The sequence below is a fragment of the Homo sapiens genome, chromosome 7 (genome assembly GCF_000001405.40).
Source record: "Homo sapiens chromosome 7, GRCh38.p14 Primary Assembly".
Taxonomy (NCBI): domain Eukaryota; kingdom Metazoa; phylum Chordata; class Mammalia; order Primates; family Hominidae; genus Homo; species Homo sapiens.
The window spans coordinates 4837835-4856449 of record NC_000007.14 but is presented as its reverse complement, the minus strand read 5'-3'; the positions used below and the strand labels follow the sequence as shown (position 1 = coordinate 4856449).

Here is an 18615-nt window from a genome sequence, read left to right as displayed (position 1 = left end):
TAAGGGTGACAAAGGAAAAAGTCTGTTTTAAAGATCAACAGGCCGGGTGCGGTAGCTCATGCCTGTAATCCCAGCACTTTGGGAGGTCGAGGCGGGTGGATCGCTTGAGACCAGGAGTTCGAGATCAGCCTGGGCAACATGGCAAAAACCCATCTCTACTAAAAATACAAAAATTAGCTGGGTGTGGTGGCATGTACCTGTAGTCCCAGCATGTACCTGTCAGTCCCAGGAGGCCGATGCAGGAGAATCGCTTGAACCCAGGAGGTGAAGGTTGCAGTGAGCTGAGATCAAGCCACTGCGCTCCAGCCTGGGTGACGGTGAGAGTCTGTCTAAAAAAAAAAAGCTGGATTCAGTGGTTCATGCTTGTAAGCCAAGCATTTTGGGAGGCCGAGGCGAGCGGATCACTTGAGGCCAGGAGTTTGATTCCAGCCTGGCCAATGTGGTGAAACTCCACCTTTTGTATTTTTCTCTACTAAAAATACAAAAATTCGCTGGGCATGGTGATGCGCACCTGTAATCCTAGCTGCTTGGGAAGCTGAGGCATGAGAATCACTTGAACCCAGGAGACGGAGGTGTCAGTGAGCTGAGATCAGGCCACTGCACTCCAACCTGAGCGACAGAGCAAGACTCTGTCTCAAAAATCGAAAACAATAAAATCCCCAACAACCCAGTTTAAAAAATGGGCCAAAGAAGCGCATAAGCACTTCACGGAAGAGGAGCTAGGAACGGCCAATAAACATGAAAAGATGCCCAATCTCAGTAGTAACAAGGAAAATACAATATGAGACCAGAGAGGCATTTCTTTTTTTTTTTTTTTTTTTTTTTTTTTACAAAAATAAAAAAGTCTAACAGTGTCTAGGTATGGTGAGGATGAGGAGCAACGGAAACTCGAACGCGGTGCCAGTGAGAACATGGTGCAAATTGTTTTGGCCCCTTTGGGAAGCAGCTTGGTCTTATCTAGCACAGTTGACGGGCCCACACTCTGCGTTCCAATTAGTCTCCTCGTAGGTCTTCACCCTCATGCTGTGGGACACTGATGTACTTCATCTTACTGATCCCCTTAGTCTTTGGGGTGACCAGAGTCTGTGGGACCACAGCCGTGTCCAGAACTCTACACACCTTCTAGTTTACCTCCAGTGTGCCATTTAACTACCATAATTTTCTCTGGTATTTCTCGTGGTGGTAGAAAAGTCAGGAAGCATTTGAAAATGAGTATGAGAGTGTTTATGTCAACGTTTTGTAGTAGCCGAAAGTTCCAAACAATCCACATATCCATCAATGAGGGAATGGCTGGATGGTGGCATATTCATGCAATAAATACCATAAAGTTGTGAAATTAGACCGTAGCTGCCTGCGTCAGTGTTAGCTGTGTGTCATCATGTTGAGGGAAAAGCACAAAAATGCACACAGTGTGATACCATTTACATAAGGTTTCAAAATAAGCAAAGTAGAGCAGTGTAATTTAGGGTTCCAAAAATGTGTGGTGTAACTATAAATGAAAAAAGGCCATGTTAAACACGGAATCCAGGAAAGTGATTCCCTTTGGTGGGGTGAGAGGTGGGGACAGGCAGGAAGATGTGCTTGGGAGGGTTGATGTGACTCTGGAACTAGTGCATTCTTTTTAGGTTGGGTGGTGGATGAAATGGTGTTTATTTTGTTATTAGTCTAAGTTACAAATGCTTTCATATGTGTGAAATATAATTAAACAACCAATACCAAAGTGGTATCTTTTTGTTTTTGTTTGTTTGTTTGTTTTGATACGGAGTCTCGCTCTGTCGCCCAGGGTGGAGTGCGGTGGCGCCATCTCGGCTCACTGCAACCTTTGCCTCCCGGGTTCAAGTAATTCTCCTGTCTCAGTCTTCCGAGTAGCTGGGATTACAGGCGCCCGCCAACATACCCAGCTAATTTTTGTATTTTTAGTAGAGACAGGATTTCACCATATTGGCCAGGCTGGTCTTGAACTCCTGACCTCAGGTGATCTGCCTGCCTCGGCCTCCCAACGTGCTGGGATTACAGGCGTGAGCCACCGCGCCCGGCCCAAAGTGGTAACCTCTTTATCAACAATGACAAAAACCAAACACCACCCTCCCCAGAAACAAAAGCAAACAGAAAACCCCACCTAATGCCCCCTCATCAGTTTGGAATTGCATTTGGCCAGGTCAGAGTAGCTTGGGCACAATACAGCTTTCTTTCACCTAACAGTAAGTTCGGGGCTGGTAACGGTGGCTTTCCTGGTCACCAGGGACCAGGCTTTTTCTACTTTCGGCCCCATCATTCTAGTTCATGCCTTCTATCTTCAGGGTTACCTCAAGGTGCAGGATGGTTAATGGGGCCCCTGCCATCACATCTTCATTTAAGGCAGGAAGAAAGAAGGAAGACGGGGAATGGCAAAGGTGTACCTGCAAACTGCCCACCTATGGAGCTTTCGGAGAAGTCCCAACAGCGGCATCCCCTCATCTTTCACTGACTGCACCGTAGTCACATGGCTGTGCCTACCTGCAAGGGAGACAGGAAAATGTCTCTTTTCTTAGCTGGGTACATCACCTCACCAATAGCTTAGGGCTTATGCTATTAAGAGGAAGGAGAGAATGTCTAGTAAATGGCAATGATAGTCTTCTCTTTCACAACACACATATATTTAGAAGTTCAAAATCACTTCCAAATAACTTTCCATGTACACCCAGCGTATTTTTTTTTTTTTTTTTTTGAGACAGAGTTTCACTGTTGTTGCCCAGGCTGGAGTGCAGTGGCGTGATCTCGGCTCACCACAACCTCTGCCTCCCAGGTTCAAGCGATTCTCCTGCCTCAGCCTCCCAAGTAGCTGGGATTACAGGCACCCACCACTATGCCTGGCTAATTTTGTATTTTTAGTAGAGACGGGGTTTCTCCATGTTGGTCAGGCTGGTCTCAAACTCCTGACCTCAGGTCATCTGCCCGCCCTGGCCTCCCAAAGTGCTGGGATTACGGGTGTGAGCCAACATGCCCGGCCTACCCCCAGCATCTTAAAGTCAGCAGTGGCACATGGAATCTCCATCATTCTTTGAGTATTTGACTTCCTTTCTGCTATTTAAAAGGCCCATGTGTTTAGGTGAGGCCCACCTGGATAATCTCCCTTTTGATTAACCCAAAGTGAACTGATGAGAAAACTTATTTACATATCTGCAAATATCTCTTTTGTCATACAACAAAACATAATCTTGAAATGACACGAACAGTTCCCACTCACGCTCAAGGTTGGAGGGCGGGTTATGCAAAGCAGGGGTCACTGGGGGTCATCTTAGAATTCTGGCTGCCACAGCCTGCCCTCTGGCCTCCAGTGATCCATAGCTACACCCACATGCAAAATACACTCACCCCATCTCAAGGTCCCCCAGTCTCATCCTCTTATAGTATCACTTCAAGTCTAAAATCTCATCATCTTAATCTAAATCAGGTGTGAATGGGGCGTCTGGGTATAATCCATTAAGTACCACTCTTGGGGCGCTATTTCTTTCCATCTGTGGACCTGTAACACTAAAGACACAAATATCTGCCCCAGCCCTCCCAACTTGCAAGGGTGGGACAGGCATAGGGTAACAATCACTCTGGTTCAAAAGTGAGGGAAATGGGCCAGGCGCGGTGGCTCACGCCTGTAATCCCAGCACTTTGGGAGGCCGAGGCAGGTGGATCACATGAGGTCAGGAGTTTGAGACCAGCCTGGCCAATATGGTGAAACCCCATCTCTACCAAAAACACAAAAATTATCAGGGTGTGGTGGCACATGCCTGTAATCCCAGCCACTCTGTGCTATGTGGGCAACATAGCAAGACCCCCATCTCTACAAAAAATAAAAAATTAGTCAGGCATGGTGTCACACACCTGTGTTCCCAGCTACTCAGGAGGCTTAGATGGGAGGATTGCTTGAACCTAGGAGTCTGAGGTTGCAGTGAGCTTTGAACATGCCACTGCACTCCAGCCTGGGCAACAGAGCTAGACCCTGTCTCAATAAATACATAAATAAATAATAGGAGGAAACGGAAGGTAAAAAGGTGCCACTGGCCTGGCCCAAAGCATTTTTGAACTCTAGTGAGGCAAATTCCAGTGGAAGTTCTTTTGTTCCGTTCCAAGGCCTGGGGTAGTCTCTCAGCTCTGCCCTCTGTCCTCTTGGTGCCACCCTCTGGGATCTTGGCTTCATCCTCTGAGTCATCTTTCCCTCTGCATGGACGGTAGCATGTCTATCAGCCACTTCCTGTCTGTAGCCACCCCCTTCATTTTTCAGTGTCTCTGTTCCCTTCAGTCTAGGCCAGCCAGTGTTTCTGCTGGTATAATTTTCTGAAGAGCCTGTGGGCCGGATGAGGATTTCCTGAGAATTCACTCCAGTAGACAGAAGCCACATCCATAAATGTCTCTGAGATAATCCCTTCTCTACTTTCAGCTTCTGGTGAGATGGTGGAGGGACAGTGCTCTTGAACTTCCTTGAGGTCCTCTGTTTTGACTAAGAAAAATATATGAGGAACACCCTGACTCTACTGAGTCATTTATGTGGCCAGGTACCCTGACCTTTTGGTCTTCCTGGGTTTCAGCAAAGGGTTGTCCAGACCCACACTTGGTTTTTCCTCTGTGCCTCTCATCAGAAGCCATTTCTGACTTTTGGCATCTCTTGTCATCTGGGAAGGCTGCGCATTTTCAAACTTGTCCAGTCCTGGTTCTTTTTTTGCTGAACAGTTCTTTAATTTCTCTCTCTCCTGTTGCCTCTTAACCATAAGCAGCAAGAAGAAACCAGGCAGCACCTTCTACACTCTGCTTGGAAACCTCCTCAGCCATCTCTTCAGGTTCACCATTTGCAAATTCTGTTTCCAGCAATTGCAGGATGACATATTCAGTGAGCTCCCTGCCCTCACATCACAAGAACCCTCCTTCCTCCAGTTTCCAGTAACATGCCCCTCGCTTCCTTCTGAGCCTTCGCTGGCAGTCTTGTGAGCCATCTAGGTTTCTGCTGTTTGCAGCAATTTTGCCTTTCTCTGAGGTGATTTAGGAAAGTTCTCACTTTATTCTGAGAAAGAAGCAATGTCTTTACTGTGCACATTTCCTAGTAGCCTGTTCAAGGGAATCTAGACTTTCCCCATCCTGCTTCTCAGAGTCCTTCTAGCCTCCACCTATTGCCTGGTTACCAAAGCACCTTCACATTTTAGGTATTTGTTACAGTAGCACCCCATTTCCTGGCCCTAAAATCCGAACTTTTCTTTTCTTTTCTTTTTTTCTTTTTTTTTTTTGAGACGGAGTTTTGCTCTTGTCACCCAGGCAATGGCATGAGCTCGGCTCACTGCAACTTCCACCTCCCACATTCAAGTGATTCTCCTGCCTCAGCCTCCTAAGTAGCTGGGATTACGGGTGTGTGCCACCATGCCCGGCTACTTTTTCTTGCATTTTTAGTAGAGATGGGGTTTCACCATGTTGGCAAGGCTGGTCTTGAACTCCTGACCTCGGATGATCCACCTGCCTTGGCCTCCCAAAGTGCTGGGATTCCAGGTGTGAGCCACCACACTCGGCCCTGAACTTGTTTTCTATTGCTTGCAACTACAAGTGCAGCTTAAAACTATACTATTTAACTTACGTTTTCCACAAGTCAGGAGTCTGGGCACGGGAGAGCTGGACCCTCTGCCCAGGTCTCACACGGCTGCACTCAAGGTATCGGCTGGGCTGCGTTCCTTTCTGGAGCTCAGGGGCCTCTTTCAGACTCACAAGGTTGTTGGCAGAGTTCAATTCCTTGTGGTTTTAGGACTGAAGTCTCTGCATCTCTCCCCTTGTCTCTCTCTGGCTCACAGCCGTGGACCACTCTCAGCTCCCAGTGACTGTTGTCAGGTTGCCCCGTGATGCCCTGGAGAGCTGCCCTGGCATCACACACGTCTCACACCTCAAACCTCTCTGACTTCTCTTCCGTGACCAGCTGGAGAGAACTCTGGGCTTTGAAGGAGCACACGTAATTAGGTTCGGCCCAGCAAATAACCTCCATATCTCAAGGTCAGCTGATAGACAACCTTAATTATATCTGCAGAATCTCTTCTGCCATGCAGCATAATCACAGAGTGAGCCCAGGGGGCAGAGACCATGGAGCCATCTTAGAATTCTGCCCACCATAGTGACCTTCCATGCTTTTTCTGTGCTTATATTATTCTGCAGGGGACTTCTTACACATGTATATACATACATACAGGGTTCTTTCTGTCAAAGGTTTTTTTTTTTTTTTTTTTTTTAAAGGGATCGTCTGTGTAGTGTGGGTAAAAGGAATGAAGAAAAAAATAAAAAGAAAACAATGAGGGAATCATATACTTAGTTTTCTGTATTTTTCATACCAGATCCTCTCTGGAAAATACATCGTGTGTTATACCTCCAATTCATTCATCTTAATGGTTATGGAATATTCCTTGGTGTAGACGAAACACTCTATGTATTTGGGGATTGTTAGGAACAATTTTGCAACATACATTCCTACATATACTATATTTCACCAAGAAAAGATGTTATCAGTAGTAAGATCACCAGTGTTAACCACCATAAAAAATACAATTAAACTAGGACATAATACTTTCTTATTACCTAGGATTTTTATTTTTGTACTTAAGCTGTATTGTAGCTAAAGATTTATTTCAACACAGATTGTGATCTGTGTTCGTTTTGTGCGTACGCAGAAAGGTATGCAGGAGTGAAATGAATTAAGATTCTAAGTCTTTTCAAATGAGAGCCGTCCCTGTCCACACTCCCCACACAGTATCATTTTCTTTGTCCTCAAGAGGATTGGTGATGTGGCACCCCCTGCTGTCTCTAGTACATTCTTCCAAGCCACCTGCCATTCGGTCTGCAGGTTTGTTGCAGATAACAGCTGGAAGGCATGTTCATGCCTTGGATGGTCCTGAATGAACTGAAATGTTTCAGAACCTTGCCCCAGGCAACAAAAACCAAGCTGTAGCCTCACAGCTGCAGCCTGGCCGACATTCCACAGAATACAGGATGCCTTCCAGTTCCAGAGATGTTAGAAGATAAACAAGTGTGTTTAGGAGTTGATGGAATTGATCCCATCAACGTTCATTCATTCATTAATTCATTCTTGCAGTAGAATGAAAACTATGTACACTTAAATATTTTTACTTATTTTCACCAAAGTTATATATATATGTGCACAGTTAAAGCAATAGTTTCTCATTACCGATTAAAAGCAAAACAGCAGTTCTCTGCCATAGCCGTTCCTTCTTCCCAGTTTTGAACTCCCCATAACCACTTTCAACTGTGAACTCTTTCTTTCTGGCTTTTAATTCCCTTTTTTTTTTTTTTTTTGAGACAGAATTTCCCTCTTGTTGCCCAGGCTGGAGTGCAATGGCACGATCTCGGCTCACCACAACCTCTGCCTCCCAGGTTCAAACGATTCTCCTGCTTCAGTCTCTCGAGTAGCTGGGATTACAGGCATATGCCACCACGCCCGGCTAATTTTGTATTTTCATTAGAGATGAGGTTTCTCCATGTTGGTCAGGCTAGTCTCAAACTCCTGACCTCAGGTGATCTGCCCGCCTCGGCCTCCCAAAGTGCTGGGATTACAGGTGTGAGCCACCATGCCCGGCCTAATTCCCTATCTTTAACAAACGTATCCTACTATGTCTTGGTTTTTAAAAATTTCAGACATTTTCTAGTGACTTCCTTCAGTGGAAAATGAGAACTTAGGTCTTTTCACCACCCGCCTCTCCAAATTTCCAATTCCTATTGCCCGATCTTCTCAATAGAGCCATGTTTTTTTTTAAATTAATAATCAGGGTTTACCTTTTTATGATCATGTATAGCTTTTCACAACTAAAGATGGGTCTATACAAATATTGTTTTTCCTTCCTGTCCAACTTTTATTTTTCTTTGTAGTTAATTATTGTCCTTCTTGCTTGTCCATTCTTTTCCTTGCTACTTTTCATTATTTCCGCATTCCCTTAACACTCTGTTGTCTTCCCTCTTTTAAGATGTTCAGATATATTCGATATCTTATCAATTTCAGCTTCTTGGAGCTATCTTCCTTGTCTCTGTTGGACTGGGGGCTTATGACGTAAAGAAATGTCTTTGCTGGGTTTTTTTTTTAAAAAACTTTTATTATAAGAGGTATTTTTATACCATAAAATTACCTGTTTTTAGTATACAATTGAATGAATTTTTAGTAAATTTACAAAGTTGTGTGATCATCATCATCACAGTCCAGTCTTAGCAATTTTTTTTTTTTTTTGAGACGGGGTCTCACTCAGTCACCCAGTCTGTGCAGTCACCCAGGCTGGAGTGCAGTGGTGTGATCTCAGCTCACTGCAACCTCCACCATCTCCCAGGTTCAAGCAGTCCTCCCGATTCAGCCTCCCGAGTTAGCTGGGACTACAGATGTGTGCCACCATGCCTGACTAATTTTTGTATTTTTGGTAGAGACAGGGTTTCACCATGTCACCCAGGCTGGTCTCGAACTCCTGAGCTCAAGCGATCCGCCTGCTGCGGCCTCCCTAAGTGCTGGGATTACAGGCGAGAGCCACTGCACCCGGCCGGCACGTTTTCATCACCAAAAGATCCTTTGTGTCTATTAGCAGTCAGCCGGTCCCACCCCCAGACCCAGGCAGCCCCTGATCAGTTTTCTGGCTCTATACATTTGCTTTTTCCAGATATTTCGTATATATAGAGTCATACCTGTGTGTTTTTTTTTTTTTTTTTTTTTTTTTTTGCATCTAGCTTTTTTCACGTAGCATATTTTTGAGGCTCATCCATGTTGTAAGAGGTATCATCAGTATTTTGTTCCTTTTCATTGCTAAACAGTAGCCTATCGTATGGATAGATTTTGTTCATCTGTTCACCCGTTGATGGACATTTGGATTATTTCTCCCTTGTTGACTATTCTGGATAATGCTGCTGTGAACATTTGTGCATAAGCATTTGCGTGGACGTGTATTTTTTACTTCTCTTGGGCATATACCTAGGAGTTGAACTTATGAGTCACAGGTAAATTCATGTGTAACATTTTAACAAACCGACAAGCTGTTCTCCACAATGGCTGCACCATCTTACTTTCCAGCAATCGTGTATGAGGGGTCCAGTCTTTCTGCACTCTTGATATTGTTTAACTTTTTTGTTGTTGTTGTTTGGTGAGACGGAGTCTTGCTCTGTTGCCCAGTTGCAGTGCATTGGCGTCATCTTGGCTCACTACAACCTCTGCCTCCTGGGTTCAAGCGATTCTCCTGCCTCAGCCTCATGAGCAGCTGGGATTACAGGCACTTGCTACCACACCCAGGGAATTTTTGTATCTTTAGTAGAGACGGGGTTTTACCATCTTGGACAGGCTGGTCTTGAACTCCTGACCTCAAGTGATCCACCCACCTTGGCCTCCCAAAGTGCTGGGATTACAGGTGTAAGCCACCATGCCTGGCCTGTTTACCTTTTTTATTATAACCATGGTAGTGGGTGTGAAGTGGTATCTTATTTTGGTTTTCCTCTGCATTTCCCAAATGACTAATGATGTTGAGCATTTTTTATTGTATTTTACTGTACTTATTGGCCATGTATATTTATTCTTTGAAGAAATGTTTATTCAAATCCTTGTCCATTAAAAAATGTGGTTGTGGCTGGGCACGGTGGCTCATGCCTATAATCCCAGCAGTTCGGGAGGCTGAGGTGGGTGGATCACCTGAGGTCAGGAGTTTTGAGGCCAGCCTGGCCAACATGGTGAAACCCCATCTCTACTAAAAATACGAAAATTAGCCAGGCATGGTGGCACACACCTGTAATCCCAGCTACTTGGGAGGCTGAGGCAGGAGAATCGCTTGAACCTGGAAGGCGGACGTTGCAGTGAGCTGAGACAGCACCACTGCACTCCAGCCTGGGCAACAAGAGCAAGACTTCGTCTCAAAAAAAAAAAAAAAAAGACAGATGCAGGGGAGGGAAGGGAGTTGGAATCATTTTCTAGATGGCAAGGAAAGACTCCCCCACCAAAGTTAAAACTCAAGATACTTAAAAAAGCAATAGGGCCGGGCGCGGTGGCTCACGCCTGTAATCCCAGCACTTTGGGAGGCTGAGGCGGGTGGCTCACGAGGTCAGGAGATCGAGACCACACTGGACAACATGGTGAAACCCCGTCTCTCCTAAAAATATAAAAATTAGCTGGGCATGGAGGCAGGCACCCGTAATTCCAGCTACTCAGGAGGCTGAGGCAGGAGAATCGCTTGAACCAGGGAGTCGGAGGTTGCAGTGAGTCGGAGGTTGCAGTGAGCCAAGATCGCACCACTGCACTCCAGCCTGGTGACAGAGCGAGACTCCGTCTCTTTAAAAAAAAAAAAAAAAAAAAAAGAAGATTGTAGCTCTGGAACAAAAGAGACAAATAAGCAGTGGTGCCTGAGATGAAACAGCGCCCTCCATAGGGCTGTCGCTGTTGGTGGCGTGCCCAGCGCCATGCTGGACGCGGTGAGCAGGACTGTGCTTCGCTGGTCACCGTGACCCTCTCTAACGAAGGGCTCACAGCTTCCCGGGGTAACTGGCTACAGCCCCTGGTTTCGGCTGGAGGAAGTTCTCGGTTACGCCACGCTGCTCTCTCCTCGGCACAGCCCCGGAGAGCTCTGTCTCCATCTGTGTCTGCCTAACAAATGGCTTAAGCATTTTATCTCCTCAGTTACCCATTATCTTAATTAGGTTTTCAGTTGCTTTTCAGAGAGCGCGATTGTTGTTCCCTGAGTAAGACTCTAATTAGTGTGAGGCGGTCCAAGTTTCATCATGGAAATAATACCCTAGAGTATGTAAAAAAATAATTTCTTCCCCGTCTAAAAAAATGGAACCTCTCATTTTGCCGAAAATTTGGAAAGTAAGTGAAAGTATAGAGAAAGGAGGAGAAATCACCTGTCAGGTCACCTCCCGGAGAGAATCATTTTCAACGCTTTGGTGCTTTTCATTCTGGTGTTTTCTTAGTGTATGCATTCATTTACTTCATTTATTGATCGATTAGAGATGGGATTCTGGTGTTTTCTCAGAATATGCCTTCATTTTCTGACTTCATTTATTAGAGATGAGGTCTTGCTCTGTCACCCAGGCTGGAGCCCAGTGGCACAATCATAGCTCACTGCAGCCTCCATCTCCTGGGTTCAAGTGGTACTCCTGCTTCCACCTCCTGAGTAGCTGGGACTAAGACGTGTCCCACCACATCTGGTTCATCTTTTTATTTTTGTGGATTTGGGGTCTTGCTGTGTTGCCTAGTCTGCTCCCAAACTCCTGGCTTCAAGTGATCCTCCCGCCTCAGCCTCCCAAAGTGCTGGGATTACAGGCATGAACCACCATGCCCAGCCTACATTAGCTTTCTTTAGGTTAGGTTTCTAAAGTATTCTGTAAATATAATTTTCATATACAGGACACCTCTCGCTTCTTTCTTCCTTTTTTTTTTCCTACGTAGGTCAAATTCTAACACCCCTCGTTTCTTAATTCGGTCCCTTTCCTCAGTCCTAGCACTCAGGGGCCACATGTGGTTGACTCCTGGGTCATGAATCCAACATGATTTGCTTCTGATCTTTAAATATATTACTGGCCAGGTGCAGTGGCTCATACCTGTAATCCCAGCACTTTGGGAGACTGAGGCGGGAGGATTGCCTGAGCACAGGAGTTTGCGGCCAGCCTGGGCAGAATAGTGAGACCCTGTCTCTATAAAAAATACAAAATTAGCTGGGCGTGGTGGTGTGCACATGTAGTCCCAGCTACTTGGGAGGCTGAGGCAGAAGGATTGCTTGAGCCCAGTTAGGTGGAGGCTGCAGTGAGCTGTGATCGTGCCATTGCACTCCAGCCTGGGTGACAGAGCAAGACCCTCTCTCAAAAACAAAACAAAACAGCCTGAATTTTGCTTATTCACCATGTCTAGTCACCTTGCTAAATTCACTTGTTAATTATAATAATTTTTCCATAGATTCTTTTGCATTTCCTACATACACAATCACATTGTCTGCAAAATAATGATAATTGAACTTCTTTCTTTTCTTTTCTTGTTTTTTTTAGATGGAGTCTCACTCTGTTGCCAGGCTGGAGTGCAGTGGTGCGATCTCAGCTCACTGCAACCTCTGCCTCTCGGGTTCAAGCAATTCTCCTGCCTCAGCCTCCCGAGTAGCTGGGACTACAGGCGCGTGCCACCACACTCAGCTAATTTTTTGTATTTTTAGTAGAGACAGGGTTTTACCATGTTGGCCAGGATGGTCTCGATCTCTTGACTTCGTGATCTGCCTGCCTCGGCCTCCAAAGTGCTGGGATTACAGGTGTTGGCCACTGCGCCTGGCAACTTCTTTGTTTTCAATCCTGTATCTTTCCCCTATTTTTCCCTGCCTGTTGTACTGGCTAGGACCTAGTACAAATTTGAAGAGAAGTGGTTACAGCAGGCATCCTTGTCTTGTTCCTGATGGCAAGAGGAAGTTACGTATATATTCTCCCTAGAATTGTTTCCCTCATGGCAGAATTGGTTCCCAAAATGAGGCTAATATGTTCCTGTTTAGCCACAGTTCCTTCGTAAGGCTTTTTTTTTTTTTTTTTTTTTGAAATGGAGTCTCGCTCTGTCACCCAGGCTGGAGTGCAGTGGCGTGATTTCGGCTCACTGCAACCTCCGCCTTATGGGTTCAAGCAATTCTCTTGTCTCAGCCTCCCGAGTAGCTGGGATTACAGGTACCCACCACCATGCCTGGCTAATTTTTGTATTTTTGGTAGAGACGGGGTTTCCCCATGTTGTCCAGGCTGCTCTTGAACTCCTGACCTCAGGTGATCCACCTGCCTCAGCCTCCCAAAGGGCTGGGATTACAGGCATGAGCCACCGCACCCAGCCTTTGTAGGGTTTCTATAATGAGAATAAAATGGAATTAGATGCAAAATGCCCAGAGTCAGGCTGGCCATGGCATAGAGAAATGCTTACCAAATGATGCCTGAGAAGTTCTTTTTTGTACATTTGAAATGATTTTCTTTCAAGGACTGCTTGATGGTCCTACGGCTCTGTGTCCTTTGCTAGCTTAGAAAAGGGTGCCTCAGCTAACAGAAGACTCGTTTCAGGCCCATCTGACCTCTGTGTTTTGCAGCAGTAACTGCAGAGTTTATTGAGCAGCGCGTCCCCGGTTGTTACTAGGGGCCACTTTAAAATCATCTCTTGGCCGGGCGCGGTGGCTCACACCTATAATCCCAGCACTTTGGCAGGCCGAGGCAGGCGGATCACGAGGTCAGGAGATCGAGACCATCCTGGCCAACATGGCGAAACCCCATCTCTACTAAAAATACAAAAAATTAGCTGGCGGGGGTCGGGGGTAGTGGGCTTCTGTAATCCTAGCTACTCGGGAGACTGAGGCACAAGAATCACTTGAACCCGGGAGGCAGAGGTTGCAGTGAGCTGAAATGGCACCACTGCACTCCAGCCTGAGTGACAGAGCAAGACTCCTTCTCAAAAAAAAAAAAAAAAAAAAATTGTCTCTTGCCGGGCATGGGGGTGCGCACCTATAGTCCCAGCTATTCTGAGGCCCTGAGGCCAGAATTTCGAGGCTGCAGGGTATTATGGTGACCACGCCTGTGAATCCACACTGCACTCCAGCCTGGGCAACATAGCAAATAAGTACAATGGTCTCCGGTTCCCCAGTAGTGGTAAAGTTCCCCAGCCCAGGAACGTTTCATTATCCCCTCCGTCTCCACTCCTAGTCACTTCATCTCTGAGGCCTGCGAGTGGGGATGGGTGACAGAAACGGTTCCAAGTTGTATATATCATTATTCCAAACCATCAAGAGCCAGGGAGGGAAGAGAAAACAGGATCAGGAGGCGAAAGCTGCCGGCTGAGTTTATAGAGGAATTGAGCAACGTTCAGGAAGAGCCTGTGTTTTTCTTTCCAGGGCTGTTCAGAGTCCGTGGGAGCTGGTGACGGTCACCAGCTGCTTGTCCAGTTTCCCTGTGCACCCCCGGCACGCAGAGCCCTGCCCTCTCTGCCAGCAGCGGGTCACTAGGCACTGCCTTCTCGAGGAGGGGAGGGGGGTGGCCTAGACAAAGCCGTGTGGCTGTGGCTGCATGCTGTCTCCCTCGCCGCTTCCTCCAGGAGTGAGTTTCTCACCTTGGAGATGAGGATGTGCTCAGCAGCTCGGCTTGGCCCAGGCTGGGGAGGAAGGCCGCTAACAGAGCTTCAGGGACATGGAGCTCAGCCCTCCTTTCCTTACGGCCTCTGCTGTGAGAGTAGAAGAAGATGTCAACAACGACCGTCCCATCCCCATCTTCCCCATTGCCCCGGCGCCCTGCACTTTCTACTCCTTCTATCCCATTGTCAAAGGCAGACATTTCATGACCAGGCAGGCCTGTCTGCAAACCATGGTCCCTTACGAGGCCTACGCTGCTATTCCAGCCTCTGGCCTTGTTGCATCTTTTTTTTTTTTTGGAGACAGGGTCTTGCTCTGTTGCCCAGGCTGGAGTGCGGTGGCGTGATCGTAGCTCACTGCAGCCTCGACCTCCTGGGCTCTGGTGATTCTCCCCTTCAGCCTCCCAAGTAGCTGGGACTGCAGGCACACACCACCACACCCAGCTAATTTTTGTATTTTTTGTAGAGACTTGGCGATGTTGATCAGCCTCGGCTTGAACCCAAGCCATCCTCCCGCCTCGGCCTCCCAAAGTGCTGGGATTACAGGCGTGAGCCACTGGGCCTGGCCTTGTGTTCTCTTCTTAAAATGTCAGAAAGTGTACATTTTGCTTCTGAGGCTGGGACCCCATGTATTAGCAGATGTTTGGAGCCAGGCAGTTTCCTGAGGGTTGCTGGGGTGAAGCAGGGCTGCCCACCAAGGTCCCAGTTACCCAGACCCCGCCTTATTCCTGGGCTGGGTTGCTTTTCTGCCTCTCCACTAGAGTGGATCAACACGGGGCAGTAGGGGAGACCCGCGCCCGCCGGCTTCCTCTGCAGGAACTGACAGACACTTATCCTGAGAAGGACTGAAATCAACACTAGATCAAACTGGATGCTCCCACCAAGCTCTCCCAGCGCTTGTGGGTGTCACTTTGCTCCCTGTAAGGAACCGCTGTGGACAGGGCTTTGGGGGAGGGGGAGTGCCCTGGCAGTGGCTCCCCTCCCTGGCTGCTGTTCTAGAAACTTCCAGATGGCATTTACCAATACAGATTTCTGGGCATCCCTTAAACCTACGCAGCACCTCTGATCCCAGTGAACTCAGTCACGCCAGGGCAGGAACATTCCCAGGGGTCCTTGAAGAAGACGAGGGCGTTGGGGCCACAGCTGACCTCGGCCTGTCTTGTCCCTCACATGGGGTAGGCAACAGAAGACATGGGCGTATTCTGGCTTGCAGCCTGGAGGTGTCTCCTTCACCCACAGCAGGGTCTGGCGCTTTATTTAAGATGAATAACTTCCCATCTAAAATTACTGTTATGAAAGGCTGCGGCCGTCCTGCCATTTTGCTTTATTAGAATTCATTTGTTTTGAAATAGTGGTTTCTTTTCGTTGTTGTTGTTTTGTTTTGTTTTGAGACGGAGTCTCGCTCTGTCACCCAGGCTGGAGTGCAGTGGTGCGATCTCAGGTCACTGCAACCTCCACCTCCTGGGTTCAAGCCATTCTCCTGCCTCAGCCTCTCGAGTAGCCGGGACTACAGGCGCCCACCTCCACGCCCAGCTAAGTTTTGTATTTTTAGTACAGACGGGGTTTCACCATGTTGGCCAGGATGGTCTTGATTTCTTGACCTCGTGATCCACCTGCCTCGGCCTCCCAAAGTGCTGGGATTACAGGCGTGAGCCACCGCGCCCGGCCAGAAATAGTGGTTTCTTGATGATGTATTTCTCACTGAACTTATTTCATGTTGGCGGAATCTCCCATTGGTAGCATAAGGGCCCCTGGGGTGACCCTGTTCTTGGCAAAGAGCACACCTATATAAGACCCCCAAATCAGGCAGTCCCTAAAATTGCAAAGCCCTGGCCTACCCTTCCTGAGCAGTGTGCTGCCGGGTCTGAGGGCCTTGACAACTCCACGCTGTGTGTCTAGCGATGGCGCCATGCGATGCTTCTGAAGGTGGCTGGGGTCAGCATCACGAGGGATGCTCTCCACGTGCCTCGGCTCCTGTCTCCCTCCACCCAAAGGCCAAGTGGGGGCACTTTCTGTCCCAGTTGAGGCAGATCCGCCCTGGGTCTGCACAGAGCTGAGACGCTCAGGTGACTCAGGTGACGAAGCTGTATCAGGTCAGGCACAAACAGGGCACGATTGCAGCTCTCTCTATGGGAACTTGGGAGGCCATGTCGGCCCCCAACAAGCCTGACAGCCGACCCCCTGGGAGCAGAGTGCTGGGTCCCATCTGCCGCAGCCTCATCTTGGGACAGGGCCAAGTCACAAAGCCACACGTGAGCAAGAGGCCTTTCAAACTTCTGTGATTTTTATTTTAACAAAAGTGTTTATGCTGGGCGCGGTGGCTCACGCCTGTAATTCCAACACTTTGGGAGGCCGAGGTGGGCGGATCACTTGAGGTCAGGAGTTCGAGACCAGCCTGTCCAAGACGGTGAAACCCTGTCTCTAATCTAAAGATAAAAAAATTAGCCCAGCATGGTGGCACGTGCCTGTAATCTCAGTTACTTGGGAGGCTGAGGCAGGAAAATCACTCGAACCCAGGAGGCAGAGGTTCTAGTGAGCCAAGATTTTGCTACTGCTACTCTAGCCTGGGCGACAGAGTGAGACTCTGTCCCAAAACAAACCAACAGGAAAGCTTTTAAAAATAAAGTATCATCAGTTACATTTATCTGACACCTGGGTTCCCCTCCCAGATTTGACAGGTAAAGATTTTTATCATATTTGTTTAGAGTTTAAAAAAATGAAATAAGTCAAACATGATATAAAGTTATGATAATATATTTATCATAAATTATATATAACATATATTCTGTTACATACTGGCACTATACTAAATCCTATGAAATTGAAGTCATTTTTTCCACCATGCCTAGGCTTCCCCTGCCACCTGTTGAGGACAGCCGCCATGTGGTAAACGCACTGTGTGCATTGCTCTTTTATAAAATAGCTCTACACTGACCACACGCTTGGCCATAAAACACATTTGTTTGAATTCTCAGCGAATTAAAAAAAACGGAAATTATACCAAGCACACTCTCCGACCCCAGCCCAATAAAATTAGAAATCAGTACTAAGAAGATTGCTCAAAACCATACAATTACATGGAAATTAAACAACCTACTCCTGAATGACTTTGGGGTAAAAAATAGCTTTGCATGCACATATATAGAAACCGTAAGCTATATACAGCGGTGTTTTAGGTGCTTTTAAAAAAAACTGAGCCAACGCGTCATATCATGTGTTACATCACGTCACGTGTTACCTGTAGCTTGCTCTTTCACCCTGTGGTCACGTACACAGCTGGCTACGGTCTTCTCTCTGCAGAGCTCTCCTCCCGTGCATGGCGGCTCCCTGTGGGGGGTGATTGGGTGGGTTCTGGGCTTTGCTAACTCAAGCGGTGCTGAATGTACGTGTGCACGTGTGCACGTGTGCATGCATGTGTGCACGAGTGCACGGGTCCTGCTGGCTGTTCCACAGCAGGGGACTGAGGAGCAGAGTGGCGTGGTCAGTTGCTGTCCACACTGGCCATGCCCACGGCTGTGCCAGTATTGGCAGTGGCTGCTGCTGCTTCACCTCCCCCACACCTGCACTCAGAGGGAGGCTCTGTCATGCTTGTGGCCTTGGGTGCAGGGACAGCCCCACCGCCCAGAGGAGAGGCCTCACCTCCGGCCCCTCGTTGGAGGCTGGCAGCCTGGCCCTTCTGCACACATGCAGGCCTACCCAGCACCAGGAAGGAGACCCTGGGAGTGGCCCCTGCGTGTCAGCATTGGTTCCGACCTGCAGAGAGCCCAGCCCTGGGCCTCAGGAGGCTGTGGAGCCTTGCCTGGAGGAGCAGGGTACACTCAGCTGCGAGCCACTTGCCTGGGGCTGCAGCCCCAGGGGACACAGGCCTGGGACATCCCGTGCCGCATTTGTGGCCAGGTCCTCTGGGAGCCCCTGGGACTCTAGGAGGAGAAGCAACCCTTCCTGCCCCATGGCCCTGGGACTTCCAGCAGGTCACTCTGAGGTCACCTCCTACAACCTGGCCCTGGATTTGGGAGAAAGTTGAGGGCCGGAGCATCATTTGGAGCTGTTTTTGTTCTTCTTTCGGATCTGGCCCCATAGTTGTGCAATGAGGCTGAGCTGTGGGGCTGGTAACGCTTGTGGGAGTGGCGGGTGGGATGAGGTAGGGGAACTGGGCCCCACCTGCTGGGCACCTGCCGCCTGCCAGGCTGGGCCGGGTTCTGCAGGCGGCAGGAGCACGGGTGGTGAGCAGCCCAGCCCAGCAGCCTCGCACTGCGGCTGGGCGGCCTCCCTCACGCCCTGGCCCCCTGCGGGCTGCAGATGCACAGGCTGCCGGCTGCCTTGGGAAGGACGGCGGGGCTGCTGGCGCTGGTAAGGGTCTTCCTCAGCCAGCTGACGCCTCCCTCCATCCGGCTTTTGTTTGGTTTTATTGGGAATGGTTGGAGGAAAGGCCGCCACAGATGGGGATGGATCTTAACCTGAAAGGCTGCGTACAGGGAACTCAGCAGAGGGCTCAGAAAAGACAGCGCCGGGTCAGCTGG

General features: G+C 48.3%; 1 protein-coding gene across 1 annotated transcript in view, besides 1 other annotated feature; it reads left to right on the top strand.

Moving 5' to 3' along the window:
- The window catches only part of RADIL (Rap associating with DIL domain), an 86662-nt gene that overhangs the window by 27267 nt on the left and 40780 nt on the right, over nucleotides 1–18615 (top strand). The gene's annotated exons all lie outside the window — the stretch shown is intronic.
- Nucleotides 17188–17856: an enhancer, noted in NCBI's record as "H3K4me1 hESC enhancer chr7:4878225-4878893 (GRCh37/hg19 assembly coordinates)". NCBI's record gives its function as "activates a minimal SCP1, AML or CMV promoter by ChIP-STARR-seq in primed H9 embryonic stem cells {active_cell/tissue: H9 hESC(primed)}" and the evidence as "EXISTENCE:reporter gene assay evidence [ECO:0000049][PMID:30033119]".